This window comes from Homo sapiens, chromosome 3, assembly GCF_000001405.40.
Source record: "Homo sapiens chromosome 3, GRCh38.p14 Primary Assembly".
NCBI classification, from domain to species: domain Eukaryota; kingdom Metazoa; phylum Chordata; class Mammalia; order Primates; family Hominidae; genus Homo; species Homo sapiens.
Window position 1 is genome coordinate 115,905,385 of NC_000003.12, and position 20,132 is coordinate 115,925,516.

The 20,132-nt window shown below is 37.9% G+C and overlaps 1 protein-coding gene and 1 long non-coding RNA gene across 7 annotated transcripts in view; one reads left to right on the forward strand and one right to left on the reverse strand.

Annotated features, from left to right (window-relative positions):
- Positions 1-20,132, forward strand: part of LOC124906269 (uncharacterized) — a 277,601-nt gene that overhangs the window by 114,284 nt on the left and 143,185 nt on the right. The window lies entirely within an intron of this gene.
- LSAMP (limbic system associated membrane protein) overlaps positions 1-20,132 on the reverse strand; it is a 643,114-nt gene that overhangs the window by 103,011 nt on the left and 519,971 nt on the right. The window lies entirely within an intron of this gene.

A 20,132-nucleotide genomic window follows, 5' to 3' on the forward strand; every position in this document is an offset into this window, starting at 1 on the left:
GCATCCTGAAAAAAAATCAATGTTTTACCTTCCTCCCTGCTGAGTTTCATTTCACAATAGAGAACTATCATTATAAGCCCCCAAAATGTACCTGTTCAGTTTTTCATCTGTGAACAACACTGATTTCAATTAAATCCAAAATAGATACCCCAGAGTCCTCCCTAGAATTTTTAATATTTGGCCTTTAATATAAATTGATCCTTTGCTACTGAGTCAGTAACACAAAACCAAAAAAAGGCTTTAAGAATTATTAAAGTCACAGGCAGTGCACAGGACATACTTGAGAACATGTGCTGTAGAAAACACAGCCTTACATAAAGAAGTCACTTATAAGGCCGATAAAAGATGCTAAGATGCTCATTCCCCTCCCCTTGCATTGGTACCTACAGTTCCCAGCGGAAGAGGGGGTCTCATCCTGGCTGCTTCTCAGGAGCATCTCTCATTCTAGGGCATCAGGAACTCAAAATACATAAGGATATTTTTGTGAGGGGTCTTGATAGTGGGGAATTACTGGGTATTCCTATTTTTGGAGACTGCTGAAGAAGTGGGATGAGGCTAGGGGACACTACAATGCCAAGGACATGAGACTAGTACAAGACTGGAAACAGCAAACATGACTTTTGGGATTCAGTCTGTTCCTCTGACCACTGGACCTTGAAAACAGGTGCTGGAACCTTATGGAAAGCAATTAGAGCTTCCATCCAGACTACAGGCTTTTGCCAATGTCAAAAAGATGACAAGGTTACCAGCCCGAGGAATTTCACACTATGGCTCTCTTCTTCAGTATTGTGCCAGAAATGCATTTAATGATGGAGTTCTGCCATTTATAATATGTGTCACTTTGGGAGAGCAGAAGAAACTAATGCTACTTTTATTTATGCCGTTTCATCTATCTGAGACCAGCATTTATTAAGCATGGTGCTGAGATGACACTTGATTTCCCCTCAGTTCTTTTTTATTGTTTTTGCATGTAAGTCCTGGGAAAAATAATACTGCTTTGGACAGCAAATGACTTAAATGAATCAGATATTGTCTGGGTGTAGGTATTGCTAAGAGACCAACTTAATTATTAGTTGTTATCATGGTTATTGCAACATCTAGTTTCCTGCAGACTAGACTTCGAAGAGAAGGCAGTTGACAGCTCTGGAATCCAAAGAAGGGAGGCAAAAAGGAAGAGCAGACAAAGCATTAACTTTAGAGTCCCATTTCTCTTTCCTACTGGCTGCATATCCACCATCAAAGCCTTAATTTGTTCATCTGTAAAGTAAAACTAATAGTTTTGTTTGCTGAAGGCTTTAAATAAATTGCTATCTACAAAGCGTTTGGCACAGTTTTTGGCACACAGCAGGTGCCCATTGAATGTTAAGTCCTGTTTCTTATTTTTAAGACATACTTTGCTAAGAGAGCTCAGGGAAAAGATGTGGTCCACTAAGCAGGTATTTATTACATATTAAACTGAATTAGAGGCAGCTAATTATATCTTTGCTAGCTTAATTTCAGAGAATGAGAAGTATAACTTTTGGGGCTTTGTTTGAATTCTTGGTCAGGTTCTACATAGATTAAATCCAAGAGGTAAACAACAATCCTAATAACCTAATGTTAGTCCTATACTAGAATAATTTGAATATTTAAAACAAACTCCCTTTCTTTTAAAAACTGCACCAGTCAGTTGGTTTTCCATCTCAACCCTGGACTGTTAAACAACTCCAGCATACCCAGTGTTATTTGCTACAGTCTCCTTCAAGCCTTGTTGCTTGCTTCCAGCCTGTTCCCACTTGGATCTAATTCCTGTCTAGTTTCTGACATTGGCTTCAGTTTTTCTTCCTGATTTTGCCTATCCATTGCTAAGGTCTGAATGTTTGTGTCCCGCATAAAATTTATATGTTGCAACCTAATCCTCAATATGATGGCAGTAAAAGATGAGCCCTCTGGGAGGTGATTAGGTCATGAGGGCTCCACCTTCATGAGTAGGATTAATGAAGAAAGAGGTAGCTTGTTTGCCCCATTCCACAAGTAAGGATGCAGCAAGAAGATGCCATCTATGAAGCAGAGAGTGGGCCTGCAGCAGACATCGAATCCACTGGCACTTTCATCTTGGACTTCCCTGCCTCCAGAACTGTGAGAAATAAATTTCTGTTGTTTGTAAATCACCCAGTCTAAGGTATTTTGTTATAGTACCCTACACAGACTAAGATATTCATCTCCTGACTTTGATCTCTTCGGGCTACTTCCCCAGTCAGACCCATCTGACCCTGCATGAAAGAAAATTCACTTAGGAACAGCCAAATAGCAAAAAGTAGTTCTCAAATAATTGAGAAATGGTTTATGAGTCTACAGTAAACTCAAAAATAAAAAGTTTTCATTGTAATTATTTAGTTTTTAATCAAAGTAAAATCACAGATTTTTGTGTGAAGTATCTTGCTGAAGAAACAGAGAGTTGTATGCACCAGCTATTGCTGAGTAAAATGTGACATCATTTAGGGGCTTCTCAAGGCCTTTTTATTATGAAGATCAACATGCCACTTACTGGGCAGTTTCCAAATGGGCAACATAGCCCCATCTCATGTCACAGATGACTTCATCTATCTAAAGTAGGATCTTTAATGTTGAAATAGTGCTAGTAATCTACACTTAAATCATGGGGAGATTTGAGCCCAATGTATGAAATCCTGGTGTTTGACCATACAGGGAAGATAAGAAAGATATATATATATATCTTATAATATGTGTCACTTTGGGAGAGCAGAAGAAACTAATGCTACTTTTATTTATGCCGTTTCATCTATCTGAGACCAACATTTATTAGGCATGGTGCTGAGATGATACTTAATTTCCCCTCAGTTTATATATATATAAGTGGAAAAAGATCACCTGTCACTGAAAACCTACCCCTCAATATCCAATCAAATGATTTTAGTTTACCCTAAACTTTACAAAAGAATATTGTAGCAAGCTTATTCAACTGTAGACTTAGTACATCTTATCTTGCTATTATCTAGCTAACAGAGAAGCTTTAGTATATCTGTCTACCTGCAAGGCTCAGAACAAAACTTTGCAGATGGCCAGATTTGCAAAAACCTGAACACAGGACCCTACCTTGGTATTCAGCAAAGTGGAAGATGAAGTGGAGTCCTGTTCTGATCCTCCAAAAGCCTGATTCTGAAGTTGCTTATAACCTGACCTTTTTACTCTGTGATGTTACAGATATGCAGCCTCTGATATTTATATAGAACTTATTCCTACTGTTATCAGAGCACAAAGGAAGAACATAGGAGGAAAAGCACAAGAGGTAGCATTATTACTCTGATTGTTGTTAATCCATTATACCTCTAGTGCAAAAAGCATTAGTTTTAAGTCATCTTAGACATGGAATTTGCAGGAAATAAAGTATAGGTGTCAGAGACTTTACAGCTTTCTTTACAAAAGCCTCTCTTATTTGCAGCTTGCCTGTCGTCATCTCCAACCTGTCTAGATGTTTGACCTTCTGTCCGGCACTTCTGTCTTCAGTCAAGAGTGACATAAGCTGTTCTAGGTCACTCTTTAGGATTCCAAACCAAGTCATCCTTGCTGTTTGTCTTGTATCCCATGATCATGTACTTAAATTTAGATAACATAACTTTTGGCTTTTTCTCAAAGTCTCAACTTAGAGACTAATTCTGAAAAATAACTGAATTCCTATGTTGTTGCTATACTGCCTTCCCTGTCCTAATGCCCGTCCGGTTCAATATCTGTCTAGGGCTGGGAATTGGCTTTATTATAGATGGTCTTTGCTCCTCCTGCATCCTTAGCTTTGATCTTTCTTCAGGCATCCCAAAGACACAGATTTCAGATCCCAGATGCCTTCTGAAATTCCACGTTTTGATTCTAGAGTTTTGATTCTCTGCCTACCTGCCCAGGCATCACATCTCTGCTAGTTCTCCATCTAGGCTTTTCTGAGTCTGCACAGTCTTGCAAGTGGTCCTTTCATGCTTGTCTCTGTCTTGAGATATGAGTATAAGAACCAGTTGGAAGAGCTCCAAATGAATGGCAAATGCTCAGGTATCTTCTGTGGTTGTTGTTGCTGTTCCCTTGGTGTCATCATTCACCTAGCTTACATTAGTTCTTGTCTTTTCTTCAGCAGCAATGTAAGAATCCTGCTTCTTCCAATCCCCGTCCAGTACATCTTGGTTTGGGAACTCCTATTGCTAGATATTGGTTTAATCTGTGGGTTTCTATTTCCTCTTTTTTCTTTTATTTAAATCAAGAAATGCATCACTTGTTAAAATAGGGAGCATCAGGCCAATATTTTGAATGTCTTCTTCTATTGGAGTTTTGAGGGATAGTGCCACAAAGATAAAGCTTGACGTGTTGCAAATTAAAGAGATAATATAATCTGTGCTCTCTCAGTTTTGGGTGGGGAGTAGTAAGAAGCCAGTCAGGATAATATACTTTAATGAGAAGTTTGCCTTATTAGTGAGGTGATAATTTTGCTCTAATCTAGCTCCTTTACATAAGTTTAAAATATCTGTGTTTCACTCTTCTAAAAAGAAAACAAAAATTTATCCTGTTTCTGCAAATATGTTTATGGTAGTTATTTTGGGCTTGCAAATTCGTGTAAGTCATTGACGCAATGTGCTCATATCAGTGTTGTTGGTCTCAATCATAACAATATTTTTCAGATTATGGATTTTTTTCTCATTTGATCATTATATTTACCCAGGGAGAAAGGTAAGAAAACATTGTTCTTATTCCCAGTTTAAAGTGGAAGCAGAATATCAGAAAAATTAAGCAAAGTGTTTAAAGTCCCATAGCTAGTAAGAAGTAGAATCCAGGTCTTTTGCTCAATCTTCTCTTTTTTCCACCAAGCACTCCTCAAAGTTTTTCACCTGGGAAACAGAGTTATGCAAATATTTGCTCCTAAGAATTTGGAATATAGTTTGAAAGTTCTGTTGCAAATGTAAAATTTCTTTGATGTTTTATATTTTATTTTGAAAAACCAGGCAAGTTTTGCTTTCTTCCCATAATGTATCAGTGTGTGTTTTAATATAAGTAATGCCTTCTCTAGCTAACTACTCTACCCCCATTTGATTTTTTAATTAAATTTTTCTATTTTGAGACAGCAAAAAAGACAAAAATTCACATGCAGTTTTAAGAAATAATACAGAGATCCTTCTGTATCCTCTACCTAGTTTCTCCCAACGTTAACATCTTGCATAATCATAAGATCAGGATTTAAAAAGCATATATTGAGCTTGATATAGTTAAGATACAGAATTTCCATCACTACAAGGATCCTGCATATTGTTCTTTTATAGCCACACCACTTCTCTCCTGTCCTCACGCCCTCCTCAACACTGCAAACCACTAACCTCTTCTTCATTTCTATAATTTTGTCCTTTCAAGAGTATTATATAAATGAAGTTATACAGTATGCAACTGTTGGCATAGACTCTTTTTCTTTCAGCATAAGTCACTGGAGAATCACCCAGGTTGCTGCATCTGTCAGTAGTTCATTCCTTAATGAACTACTCAATGTTCAATAGTAGAGTAGGGTGACTATACTTAACAATGACGTATATTTCAAAATAGCTAGAAGAAAGGATTGAAATGCTCCCAACACTTAGGAATTATAAATCCTTGAGAAGATGATAGCCTAAATACCCTGACATGATCATTTACACATTCTATGCATGTAACAAAATATCACATGTATCCCATAAATATGTACAAATGTCATGCATCAATTTTTAAAAGGAACATGTACTTTGAAGAGTTGTGAAATTAAATGAAATTATATATAAAGCATTTTACACATGGTAAAAGCTCAATAAATGACAGCTATAGTAAAAATATATACAGTTGTTTCTTCTTATTGCTATGTAGTGTTTTGTGGAATGGATGTACCACAGTTTCTTCAATCATTGAGAAACATATGGGTTGTTTTTGGTTTATAGCTATTATGAATAAAGTTGCTATATACACTTGTGTATGGGTTTTCATTTTTGTTTTTCTGAGACAGATTCTCACTCTTTCACCCAGGCTGGAGTGTAGTGGAGCAATCACTGCTCACTGCAGCCTCGACCTCCTGGGCTCAGGTGATCCTCCCACCTCCTGAGTAGCTGGGACTACAGGTGCCTGCCACCACGCCTGGCTAATTTTTTGTAGAGACAGGGTTTCACCATGTTGCCCAGGCTGGTCTCAAACTCCCAGGCTTAAGTAATCCATCCTCCTTGACCTCCCAGAGTGCTGGGATTACAGGTGTGAGCTACCGTGCCTGGCCTACGTATGGGTTTTTGTGTGACCATAACTCTCTCATTTATTTGAGACAAATGTCAATAGTACAACTGCTGGAGCATATAGTAGCTGTATGTTTAATTTTTAAAGCAAAAGCCAAAATTATTTTCCAAAATGGCTATACAATTTTACATTCCCACCAACAAAGTATGAATTATTCAGATTCTTCACATCCTTCTCATCATTTGGTGTTGCCATATTTTTTATTTTAGCCATTTTGATAAGTGTGTGGTGATCTCTCATTGTGGCTTTAATTTGCATTTCCCTAAACGGCTAGTGATGTTAAACATCTTTTACTTAACATCTATATAACCTCGTCAGTGAAATGGTTGGTTCTTTTGTCCATTTTAAAATTAGATTGTTTTTTGCTGGTGAGTCTTGAGAGTCCTTTATACATTCTAGCTATCACTCCTTTGCCTGATTTGTAGTTTCTCTCACTCTGTACCCTGTCTTTTCATCCTTTTCACAGGTCTTTTGCAAAGCAGAAGTTTTTAATTTTGATGAAGTCAATTTATTGACTTTTCCTTTTACGGACCATGCTTTTGATGTCAAGCCTAAGGACACTTTGCCTAACCCTAGATCATGAAGACTTTTTTCTAAAAAGTTTTACAGTTTTACATTTACATTTAAGTCTGTGATTCATTTGAAGTTAATTTTTATACCAGGTGTTAGACGTAGGTCAATGTTTAATTTTTTCTTTTTGTGCATGCATGTCCAACTGCTGCAAACCTCTTTGACACCAACCCCACTGGGAGGAGGAGGGACCCCTTGTTACTCTTGGGTGGGTGTGGAAAGCCAGACTCTCCATGTGGACTCTACTGAAACCCAGAGTGAGAGGTGGCTCCTTACTGGTCAGGGGATATGAAAAGCTCAGCTCCATCCTTGGCCTCCTCTGACACCATCTTGGCAAGGGATACTGTGTTGCGTCATTGCAGCCACATGAGTGTAGAAGTCTGGGCTCCACACTTGACCTTTGCTGGCACGAGTGGAGTTGTAGCCAGTTTTGTTTGTTTGTTTGTTTTCCCCTGTGGTATTTGGCTGGTCTAGTGTGGTTATTGTTTAAAAAATTTTTTGTCTTCCTATTCTGCCTCTTTTTTGGTCTTTTGGCTTTAGAAGGCAGGCTTTTGTTGAGGCTTCCTTTGTCTGTGTCCATTGGCATTTTCAGATTGCTGGCTTCCTCAACTCTGGGATATACGAGACAAAAAGAACACCCAGGGAACTTATGGCCATGCTGTTCCTTACATCCTGAGGTCCCTACCTAGTCTGTTCTTCTCTCCAACTTTCAGAATCTTTTTGGGTTTGTTTTATATGGAATATTCAGGGGTTTTAGTTGTGTTTTTCTAGAAGTATAGGGACAAATATGTGTATTCCATCTCCTCAAAAGTGGATTTCCCCAAGTTAGATTTTTAAGTAAAACTTGATGGTCTAGAAAACACGTGATGTTTATTCTGGCAGGCAATTATTATTTTAATATGCTCTTCAAAGTCCATAGCACAAGTCTATAGCGAAGACAGATGCATCAATAAATTACAGAATTTTAATGTTGATGATTAAATTAAGAGAAAAAAACTGGTCTTTATCAGTTGTATAATCTGCCTGTATAATGACACCTAGTGGAGAGAATGTAAATGATACTATGTTTCTCTCTGACTTCATATTCCTCTACATTTGTAGTACAGTGTTTCTCATGCAGTTGGTTTTATTGACATCTCCAGCTCACCTGGCTGCATGACAAAGCCATGGTCTTTTTGACCTGCAAGCTTCTGACAGGCTACAAATATTTATTGAATGCACCACAGGGTAGAGACTTTTGCTGGGTGCTTAGCAGACTAGCAGGAGCCGGTGTACTATGGCCCTCAGCCTCCCCAGGGCAAGGACTGTCAGAGAGCTAAAGGGTGTACAGGTATTTTAGGTTAGAAGAAAATGCCCCGGAAATGCCTTTCTTCAACAAAGTTCTTTTGAAGCTTGGTTTGAGTATTATCTTAAGAAAATAAAAATAAGTACACTCACCTTAATTGATGAGGAATCTCTCTTTGACATGGAAATGAAAGAGAAAAAAGAGTAATGCCTCAGTTTTGTGGGCTCTGTGACAAAACCTGAGTTTTCCCATGAGGTTCTTCCATAAGAAGGGGACCTATGTCTTTTTCATGCATGTGTCCCAAGTGCCTACCATGATGCCTGGCACAGAGTAAGGGCCGAAATCCATCTATGTCACGCTGAATGAACCATGTATTAAACGAATCATGTATTAAACCCTGTGTAGACCTTGAAAAGAGAGTTCCAGGGAACTGTATTTTGTAAATCCAAAAGAATAATTAAATCTTTAAAAAAATAAAAAGATAAAAAGAAAAGAAGGAAAGTCAAGATACAGAAACCAAAGACCATTAAGACCAGTAAGTTTCATAAGATAATCATAGGACTGTGGCAGCTCCGCAGATACAAGTTAGAGTGATCAAAAGAAAAATAGGCCCTCAAAAAAATGGAAGACCTAGAGATCCTTGACCAAACTTTAGTCAAGCTCCTCTGAGCCCTCTTTGCGTCGATGTTGACTTTGCTCTGCCACCTCCACAACCCATTCCCCTTGCAGGGCTTGCACAGATCACTTTTAGCAAGAATCTTGCTAAGCCAGTTTAGAGGGAATCCTCTAACCCTCACTATCCAATCACCCTCAATAGCTGATCAAATTTCTCATCCCGCACCACCTCAACCATAATATCTGTTCACTCTGGCTTGTCTTCAGCAGGAATCCTGTTAGGTTAGTTTAGCAAGAATCCCCCTATCGTTGGTGTTTCCTCTCAATAATTTTCCATACACTGACTGTGCTTTCCACCCAGTGTCTCTAAATCTCCACTTGTTCTTGTTGCATTCAGAGTTGAGCCCAATCTCTCTTCCCTATTGCGATAGTCTTGACATTGTTTTAACAAGTACCGGGATAATTTTTTTGTTTACTAGTGGACTAGAGAGGCTTCCTCTTTCCTCCATCCCTCTCTTATTATATTTCTTTCTTTTACCTCTAATAGTTAGAAAAACTGAAGAGATAAGCATCTCTCTCATCAACAGGCAGAACTGCTCCTTGTTCCCCATAGATCTTTCCTTTTAGCTGCATATCACATAAAACCCTACCTGTTGTGTCAGGAAGAATGTGGTGCTAAGTACTCTCAAGCACACAGATTTTAGAGGCTTCTTCATTCTTCCTGACTTTTTAGGATTCTTTTGCACTGCTGGGAAGATGGAATTGGGAAGTACATTTTTATACTTAAAAGGTCTGTATCCTGGGTTAGACTCCAAAGGGGGTGCAAGAATAATCACATTGAAAGAGGCAAGGTGGGGAGGGGTGTGTTAGGTACTTCTTTTATTTTCCTGGAAGCCAGAAAGCAGCCAGAGGCTGGCATCTTGCTGCGATATAGAAACGGTTTGAAAAGGGATGTCCTCTTACCCTTTCCTTGCTGTTATGTAAGTTAAACTAAAATTGGGGCACCTGGGATTTGCTGCACCTTTCCATTCCCTTTGGTTTTCTTCAGTGGTGACCAAACACTCCAGTGAAGTTTGACATTCCTAACTTTTCTGAGACAACTCCCATGCTATTCAAGATGGCTAACTCAGCTCACTTATATTGGGCAATATCTTGCTGATGACTGAGGTGATAAATATAGAAGTAGAGAAATGAGATGGAGTTTCTCCAGTGTCTGCTTGCCTAGTTGTAAAAGGTGTTGTTGACTACAGAATTTTTCTGCTGGAAAAGACCTTTGATATCAACTAGGTCAGTTCCTTCCTTTTTTATAGATGGGAAAAAGAATTTTAGAGAGGTGAAACAATATAACTTAGATTTCCCAGCAGTTAAAGGCTGGAATGATTTAAGAATCTGTAACTTCTTACTCAGGATTTTCTTCCCATCGGTGTACATAAAGCTCCTGAGTTCACTTGCTGCAGCCTTTTAAGTGGCAGTCTTGGGATATGATCTGTGGATGGAAATTAGGAATATCCTTTTTTTTTTTTGACAGAGTCTCGCTCTGTTGCCAGGCTGGAGTGCAGTGGCGCAATCTCGGCTCACTGCAACTTCCGCCTCCCGGGTTCAAGCGATTCTCCTGCCTCAGCCTCCCAAGTAGCTGGGACTATAGGCACGCACCACCACGCCCGGCTAATTTTTGTATTTCTAGTAGAGACAGCATTTCACCATGTTGGCCAGGATGGTCTCAATCTCTTGACCTCATGTTCTTCCTACCTTGGCCTCCCAAAGTGCTGAAATATCTTTTACTAGATATAGCCCCTAGAACACTATGCTGACTTTGGCCTAGAAGGAACAGTGCTTAACATATAAGTTACCAGAAATGCCTTGCAAAGGCCATCCTGTTTTCAGTCAGACTCACTTGGCAGAGCATGAGTGAGATTTTTTTTTACTTTATAGATGAATAGGCTACATCTGAAATGTGGAATATTAAAGCTTAAGTCCAACACCGATCATTCAATAGAGAGATAAATGCAAGCAGACAAAGAAGGCCACAGAGAGTGCTTGGCCCCACCTTAGGGGATATCTCCCACCTGCCTTTTCTCTTCAAAGCCTGCTGCTTAATCAGCTGGGGTGTGAGCAGTAGAGGGATTCAGAATGAAAAACAATGGAGAGCTGCAAGGGGCTCAGCAGCCAAGATAAAAACAGACAGATGTTTATGCAATGGGACATGAAATTCAACACATATGAAACGTACAATAAGCAGATAGAAATTTAATATACCTGCCAAATGTCACCTCTTCACCTCAAGTGTAAATTCCCATCATTTAACAGATCTTAACTGTTCTGTATAGCTCAGATCAAGAGAAAAGAGGCCCAATCACTTATAATACTGATATATAGGTATATCACATTAAGAAAAATCTCCATGGTGTTTTGTGGTAGTCACCTTTACCTTCTCTTGCACTTATTTCATTCACTCATTTATTCATCCATCCATTCTTTCATTCATTTTAAATCCAACTTTCCAGGTATTGTAGCCTATAGGAACTTGAAAATATTTCTTGAGTAAAGAAACAGATGAATGTAATTTCATTTATTTCTCATGATAACAATCTGATCAAGTAGATACTATTCTTCTATTGCAGATGGGAAAATTAAAGCTGTGAGATTTTGTCACTTGCCTAAGGTCAGGAATCATATTCAAGTCTATCTCTCTATCTCTGTCACCCAAGCGTTACACACATTGCATGAATGCCTTTATATTTCTGAAATCCTGGGGAGGATAGAAATAGAAAGTAGTAGGTTGGAAAGTAAGTGGTAATAGTCTCCTTACAAAGGCTAGCTTCATTTTTCTATGAATGAGATCCCTAATGTGTATATTATGAAAAAGTCTAAGTAAGAGGACAATAGTTCTGCAAAATACCAAGCAGAGGAACAAGGGCCTCTGCTAATCAGTTCCTGAAACTTGCCTGGGGCTTGCAGCTGGAAAGAAGGAAAAGATTGCATCCCAAGGCACAAAATGACTTACTGCAGATGGTTTCAGATATTTCCTAGGTTGGGAAACTTAAGAGAAAAATAAAATATTAAGGTGAGGGTTGAACTAGGACATTAAACAATGCTCAATAGCTTTGGGCAATCCCTCGACACTTGCTTCCATACTTCTTACTTGCAAGCAACCTTTCCCTTTCTACCACTTTAGCCTATTGTTTATTACGTACCTTTGCTTCTATATTGTTGCTGCCTTCTGAAATAAAATGTTTCAGTCCAGAGATCATAGAACTTCTGGAGTAACAGGACCCATCTCTCAGTGATTTCCTCTTTATCACTTTTCCAGAGGTAGCTCCATTACCACCCCTGATTCCTTCCGGATACTTTTAAAACTTACTTTTACTTTTACTTTTTCCTACTCTCAGAAACTGCATAACTCATATCTTTTATTTTTCAGCATCCCTAAAGGTCATTATATATTTAAATATTTTCCAATTTATTCCATCCCTTCCCATTTTGCATCAAACACTCTTTTAAATTAATGACCTTTTTTTTTTTTCAAGTTCATAACTACTAAATATCTGAAAACACGCTTTGGAGGAATATAGCACCCCCAGTAGGGAGATGGGTTAATTTGGTGCCTTTTAGATACTCAAAATGGAATGGGATTTTCTTCACTTTTTCCATTTTTACAATTTGCTTGAAAAATTATAAAACACTTTATTGAGCATAGTACATTAACCTTGCAAATATGCTAGTAAATCTGCTGCCTCACCAACTTCCATAAATATAAAAATTATCTCTGTCCTTCAGAAAGATTTTAATTACATACTATTATTTTCTGAAAGCACCTCCTGTTTCAAATTGAAACAGTCCTTAAAATGCAAGTACCCTTCAGTTAAAGTTCCATGAGAAGCAGAGCAGAAATCGGGGCCAGTGCTGTGGCTGTGGGCAGGGGTCAGGTCAGGTTCAACTGCACATTTTTATCTACTGACCTCTCTGGCCCTCTGATCCTTCAGGTCACTGGCCATTGCTTCTTACTGGGGGACAAAGAAGGATTTTTATTTTTCCAGTGCCATTAAGACCCTGGGTCTATTAGTAGCTTCTTACGTAGGGAGATTACTAGCACATATCTAGGATAAGACCACATTATTCCAAATGATGCAAAGGTTATGGATTATTCTTCTTGGCCTGGATAAAAAATAGCCAAGGGAAATGAAATGTACAAGATTTCTCCCAAAGCTGAGAAATGAATGATGTTATCTGTTATGATATTTACATGTTCTTTCAGTAAAACAAATCCAGATTCAATCATTCAGGCAACACTTTCTGAAATCATGATAACCTCTTAGAATAGCCTGCTAAATTTTGAGGTGGGAGAAGGGGGCATTTTGTTATCTCTCTGGCCAAGACTGTTACCTACATCAGTCTCTCACTGGCATGGCTGTGATGGAAAGCACAGGAACCAGCCCCACAGTCAGCCCAATTATTCTGGCCCTGACTATGGCTTTGGCTGAGTGATGATGAACTGCAACTCTCAGTGGCTGCTTTGCTCAGAGTAAATCCCTCGATAGCTTCATTTTTAGATTAGGGACAAAATCTTAAAGAACAGGTTTTTTTTTTTTTTTTTGTCCCTGCTTCATGGTACTTATAGCTCAGAGAGATGGGAGGTACTCTTAACTGTCTCAAAAAGACTTTGGAATGAGTTAAATTTGGCCAGATCAGATAATGCTATCATTTATGTAGCGTTTTCTGTGTGCCAACCTTTGTGCTAAATTCCTTACATGTATTTTTCTCATTTAATCTTGTAACAATCCTATGAAATAGAGGCTAAATGATTGCCTGAGGCTACAAAACTGGCATAGGGAAAACTCAGACCTAATGGACTCACACCTCTAATCTTAACACTATCTACAATATCTCTTGGGAGATGGACTAAGAGAGATGAAATTTCTGCTCTAGAAGAGTTGATGCTTCTCTACTTCCTGTAGGGCAGACCACACAGCACTTGAAAAATTATGCTTCCTCCCTCCCCACTCCTCACCCCCACTGTCCTGCCGGATATTGGGTTGTCAATAGGACATTCTAAATTTAGCTTCCTGAATCTAGAAATTAAATGACAACATGATCCATTCAGAGTCCTGTTTCTATAGGCCTGGGCTTTTTTGGCCCTAAGGGCAAAAGAGTTGCAGGTGACGTTTCTTGTGCTTGCCAGACTCATGAATGCATAGTCTAGGAAGATTTAATAACTAGATAGCTTCTCAACTAGTTAAAGCAGCTTAATCATACCAGCTGAGAAAGAGGGTATAAGTGCCTTACATCAGGCCCAGGCTTCTGCTGGCCAACACTTTGTTTTCACTGTAATTCTAGAGGTCAGGTTTGGGTTGAGCATGTATGTGCATAGGTAAACGTGGTGTGTATGTATAAATGAGTGTGAATGGGGGTCTGGGGTGTGAACATTATCATCTCTTGCTTGTTTCTTTCTTTTCTGCATATGAAACTGTGACAAAACAGGTTATTTATTTATTTATTTTTGAGACGGAGTCTTGCTCTGTCACTTAGGCTGGAGTGCAGTGGCGCGATCTTGGCTCACTGCAACCTCTGTCTCCCGGGTTCAAGTGATTCTCTTGCCTCAGCCTCCCGAGTAGCTGGGATTACAGGCAGGCACCACCATGTCTGACTAATTTTTGTATTTTTAGTAGAGACGGGGTTTCACCATGTTGGCCAGGCTGCTCTCAAACGCCTGACCTCAGGTGATCCACTCACTTTGGCAAAGTGCTAGGATTACAGGCGTGAGCCACCCACCGTGCCCAGCCCTTTGACTACTTTAGATACCAATATAACTGAAGTAGCATTTGTCATTTTGTGACTGGCTAATTTCATTTAGCATAACATCCTCAAGCTCCAACCATCTTGTAACTTAGAATTTCCTTCCTTGTCAGTAACTGAATAATATTCTCTTGCATATATACCACATTTTTCTTATCCTTTCAATGAATATTTAGGGTGTTTCTACCTCCTGGCTATTACAAATAATGTTGCAATAAACATGGCAGTAGAGATATCTCTTAAAGATCCTGATTTCAATTCTTTTGTATAAATACTCAGAAGTGAGATCACTGGATCATATGATAACTCTTAATTTTTACATTGTTTTGAGGAACCTCTTTACTGGTTTCCATACTGGCTGCACCATTTTACTTTCCCACCAACAGTGCACAAGTTTTCTAACTTCTCTACATCCTATCCAACACTTGTTATTTTCTATTTTTTCCTCTCTCTCTCTCTTTTTTTAATATGACCATTCCAACAAGTGTGGGACAATGTTTCATTTTGGTTTTGATTTGCATTTTCCTAATTATTGGTGATGTTGAACATCTTACATATACCTGTTGGCTTCTTGTATGTCTTCTTCAGAGAAATGTCTATTCCAGTTCTTTGCCCATTTCTTAGATCAGGTTTTTTGTTATTGAGTTCAATATTCTTCAATTTGTGAAGGCTTGTTTGTGACATATTATGGGATTTATCCTGGACAATGGTTCATGTGCACTTGAAAAGAATGTGTATTCTGTTGCTGTTGGGTGGGGTATTCTGTATATGTCTGTTAGGTCCATTTGGGCAATAGTGTCTTTCAAATCCTCTGTTTTCTTATTCATCTTGTATATGGATGTTCTATCCATTATTTTAAGTGGAGTATTGAAATGCCCTACTATTACTGCATTGCTGTCTATTTCTCCCTTTTGTTCTATCAATATTTGCTTCATATTTTTGGGTTCTCTGATGTTGGGTGCATATATATATATATATTAATTGTTATATCTTCCTGGTGAATTGACAGTTTTATCATTATATAATGTTCTTCTTTGTCTCTTTTGACAGTTTTTGATTTAAAGTCTATTTTGACTAATATAAATATGGCCACTCCTGCTCTCTTTCAGTTACTATTTTCATGGAATATCTTTTTCCATCCTTTCACTTTCAGCCTGTATGTGTCCTTAAATCTAAAGTAAATGTTTTGTTGATAGCATATAGTTAGATCTCATTTTTCTATCCATTCAGTCATTCTATATTTTTTGAGTGGTGAATTTAATTAATTAACTTTCAAGTAATTATTGATAATGAACTATCACCATTTTGCCCATTGTTTTCTGCCTTGTAGCTCTTTTATCCTTCATTTCTTCTTGTTGTTTTCCTTTATGTTTCATTGATCTTGTAGTGACATGCATTGATTCTTTTCTCATTTTCCTTTGTGTATCTTCTAGAGATATTTTCTTTGTGCCTACAAAAAGCATCTTATAACAATCTATTTTAAGCTGACAATTCTATTGCATACAAATTCTCCATACTTTCATTTCTCCCCTCCACACATACGCATGTTATTGATGCCACAAATTATATCCTTTTATAGCATTATTCATTAATGTATTTTTATAATTATAATTATTCTTATACATTTTAACTTCTATCAGAATAAAAAGTGATTTATGTACTGCCATTGCAGTATTACAGTATTCTGTATTTATTAATATATTTACCCTTACCAGTGAGCTTTATACTTTCATATGCTTTGATGTTGTCATATGGCATTCTCTTACTTAAACTTCAACTAATTTGAAGTTTTTAGCTTTCTTATAAGGTAGGTCTAGCACTGCTGAACTCCCTTAATTTTTGTTTATATGCAATGTCCTTATTTCTGTTTAATTTTTAAGGAATATTTCTGCTGAATATAGTATTCTTTACTGATAGGATTTTTTTCTGTTAGTACTTCACATAGGTCATCTCACACTCTTCTAGCTTGCAAGGTTATTGTCAAGAAATCTGCTAATAATCTTATGATTACTCCCTTGTATGTGATATATTGCATTTCTCTTGCTCCTTTCAAAATTTTATCTGTTTCTGACTTTTGGCAATTTGCTTATAAAATGCCTTGGTGTGAATTTTTGTTTGTAAAATACTGCAGTGTGAATTTCTTTGAATTTATCTTAGTTGAAGTTCATTGGGCTTCTTGAATCTGGATGCTGATTTTTTCCTCCAGACTTGGGGAGTTTTCATTCATTATTTCTTTTAACAAGCTTTTTGCTTCCTTCTCTCCTCCTTCTGGAATTTCCATAATGCCTATATTGCTTGATGAAGTCCCATAAGTGCCTTAGGTTTTCTTTACTTTTTTAGTTCCTTGTTTTCTTTTTGTTCTTCTGACTAGATCTTTTCAAATAACCTGTCTTTGAGTTCATGGATTCTTTCTTCTGCCTGGTCAAATCTACTATTGACTATCTCTAATGAATATTTCAGTTCAGAGCATTCTCCAGCTCCAAAATTTGTTTGGTTTTCAAATATATATATTTCTATCTCTTTGTCAACATTCTCATTTTGTTCATCATTATTATTTTGAACTCATAGAACATTTTCATGATGCTTATTTTGAATTCTTTGTCAGGTGATTCATATACTTCCATTTTTAAATTATTAATTTCTGAAGATTTATATTGTTTCTTTCCTTGGGCCATGTTTTCTTGTTTCTCTGTGTGTCTTACAACTTTTTATTTGGGTCCACACATTTGAAAAGACAGCCATCTTACCCAGTCTCTATAGACTTGCTTTTACTGGGGAAGATCCTCACCCATCAGTCAGGCTGGGGGTTAAGGGTGCCTCTGAAATCTTTTGGGGAAGATGCCACTTCTCTGTGCTTGTGAGTTTAATTTCTCATGTGAAGAGGAGAGAGGTATGCTGGTTTCTTTTGCAGGAGTTTATAATCTCTTCCTCCATCTGGTGTCTGTTGGTGGCACTGCAAGTTCCCTGGTTTTATAGCAGCAGACTACCAAGCTCTCCCTTTTTCTTAGTAGCTACCAAACATCCAAAGTATGCTGACTTTCTGCCAGCACTGTGAGTGAGGCATTATACCTATCAATTCCTCAGGAAACCCTCTGAAAACTTGAACACTGAACACACACTCTGTTACTCTCTCTTAAAAGAGAAGCCTCAAATTGTGTTCTCTTTCCTGACTACAAAAGCTGTAGCAAGCTGCCTCTTTCCATGCTTCTGTGTTCTCAGTTGCCCAAGACACTCAAACAAGGCCAGTTCTGTTAACACTCTAGGTGAGATGAGACAGAAACCAATCATTTGGGCAGCCTCCAAAGAGCCAGATTGTTGGACTCACATTCCACTTTTCCTTTTCCCCTTGATGAAGAAATTGCGAGCCAGTGTGTTCTCTTCTGGGGGTTCTGAGTTGTGTTGGCTTGTGGCAAAGGCTGATGCATATAAAATGAAATTCTTCTTCTTGACCATTTGAGTGCATCTATTTTTGGCTTTGTGCTCACCTATGGTGGTGCAACTTCTTAACTGGATTCTGGATTTCTCATAAAGATATTTTGGTGCATATATTGTTAAATCAGTGTTTCTGTGGAAGACAAGGACTGGTACTTCCTATTTTGCTATCTTGTTGATATCACTCCTATGTAAGTCTTAATTTAGATAATCTATGTGAGATGCTTAACATATTTTTGATATATAGTATCTGCTTAGTATATCCTATTGGCTAATTACTATTATCACAATCATCTTCTCCTTTAAAGAAAATGTATATCATTCCTGAATACACTACACTTCCATTTTTTTTATTGTCTCTCCTACCTGGAATGACTTTTCCTTCCTTTTTTGCCCAGTGAACTCCTACTTAGATTTCTAGAACAAGCCTGAATTTCACCTGCATTGTGAGTTACCAGAGAATTACTCCCCCTTCTAAAATATTCATAGCACTTTTTTCATTTTTATATTAGCATTCATATAACATTGTATTATAATAGGTTTTTATCATTATGTGTCTCCAAACATTTTAAGGAGAGGAGCACTACATAAATTTATCTGTTTCTATTCATGATGCCTATTTTTTTTTCTTTTCGTCCAGTATCTAGCAAGGCCATCAGTATAAAGGGCTTATTAAATGTTTACTGAGTGAATTGTGTAGAGCAGTTTTGCAACTTTAACTTGAATTCCTAGGAACCTGATCCTAATTCACATTAGCAAAGATACTAAAGTTTTGAATTTTTTAGTTTGTTTGTTTTTTCTAATCTGGACTTTTTGACTTTAACTAAAATTTTTAGCTGGAGTGAAATGGTAAGCTCCTTGCCCTTTTAAATCACCATTTGTGCAGCCTTATTCTAATTACCTTAGGCCTCTTCCATTGTGGCCATCTAATCTTCTTTATTTGGATCAGAAGTTCATCAATACATATAGTTTCCCTTTTCATCGTCTCTTCTGGTTCTTCTGTGTTTCTTCTACTTATGTCTTTCATTAAATTTTACAATTGCCAATGGACTTATTTTATAGGCCTCTAGGAAAACAGTGAATACATAGGGTCACAGAGAGAATGTTTGATTGGAAGGGACCTTAAATATTGTCCAAATGTTGCCTTCATATTTACCAGAGGGATAGAGAAACTTGTCTAAAATCACTTGGACATTTAGAGACAGAGAAGACATTGCCTCATTATATGTTTAAAAGGGAAGCCACTTTTGAAAGATTATTTCCTTTTACATAAGATAGGCTGATAAAGTAGGGAGAAAGTTTGTTGTCCTGCAGAATTCTTTGAGTTTTTTAGGAAGGCATTACAGGGAAATACAATATGCTTAAAAATACCTACATTAAAAATTATGCTTAAATAAATGTCGGGTCAAATTGGGGATAATCAGAAGCCCATTTTATTTGAGTCTTTGCAACTAAAGTCCTCCTAAACATAGGGTCCTACTTCTCCCTTAGTACTACAGTGCACTTAGATCCAGGCTAGAAAATCCCCTACACTTTGACAGGCCCTGCTCTGGCCTTTCTCTTGCTATGCTCTTTCTTATAAGAAATTCATGAGACCATTGGGACATTCCCTCCCACAGCCAATACCCACTCCACAATACATTCTAGACCATGTTCTAGGTATATGAGACTCCAAAATTCCCTGCCTGTGGGGCTCATAGTCTGCTCCTTGGTTCTGCCTGGGTTTCCTTCCAAGTCCACTCTTTGAGGGGTAGGCCATATCCCAGGTATGTGTGTGTTCCTAGGCCTGGGGGGTGAACAAGGGGGAGCTATTTTTGGAGAGTGTAGAGGGAGCTTGGACACATGGGCTACGGTGTCCACACATGTGTTCACAAAGCTTCTTGTGCTGTGGGACAAAGTCAAATGTAAAAAGAGGAGAGGGATCACTACAAGCCAGGGTTCAGAATTCAGCTGTTAACACTACCACTTTCTGGCACAGAACTCAAAGGTATTCAAGAATTATAAATTCAAACCTGACTTCTATGCCATTTTGGAATAATTTTATAAGTTAGAAGATAGAATTTTTTAAGCTTGATTTGTAGTTTTAAAGTATGAGGCAGTTAAATGATGGGCCTCCATTTGCAATTTTGCTCCAAGATTCACAAATGTTATAGAAGGCCCT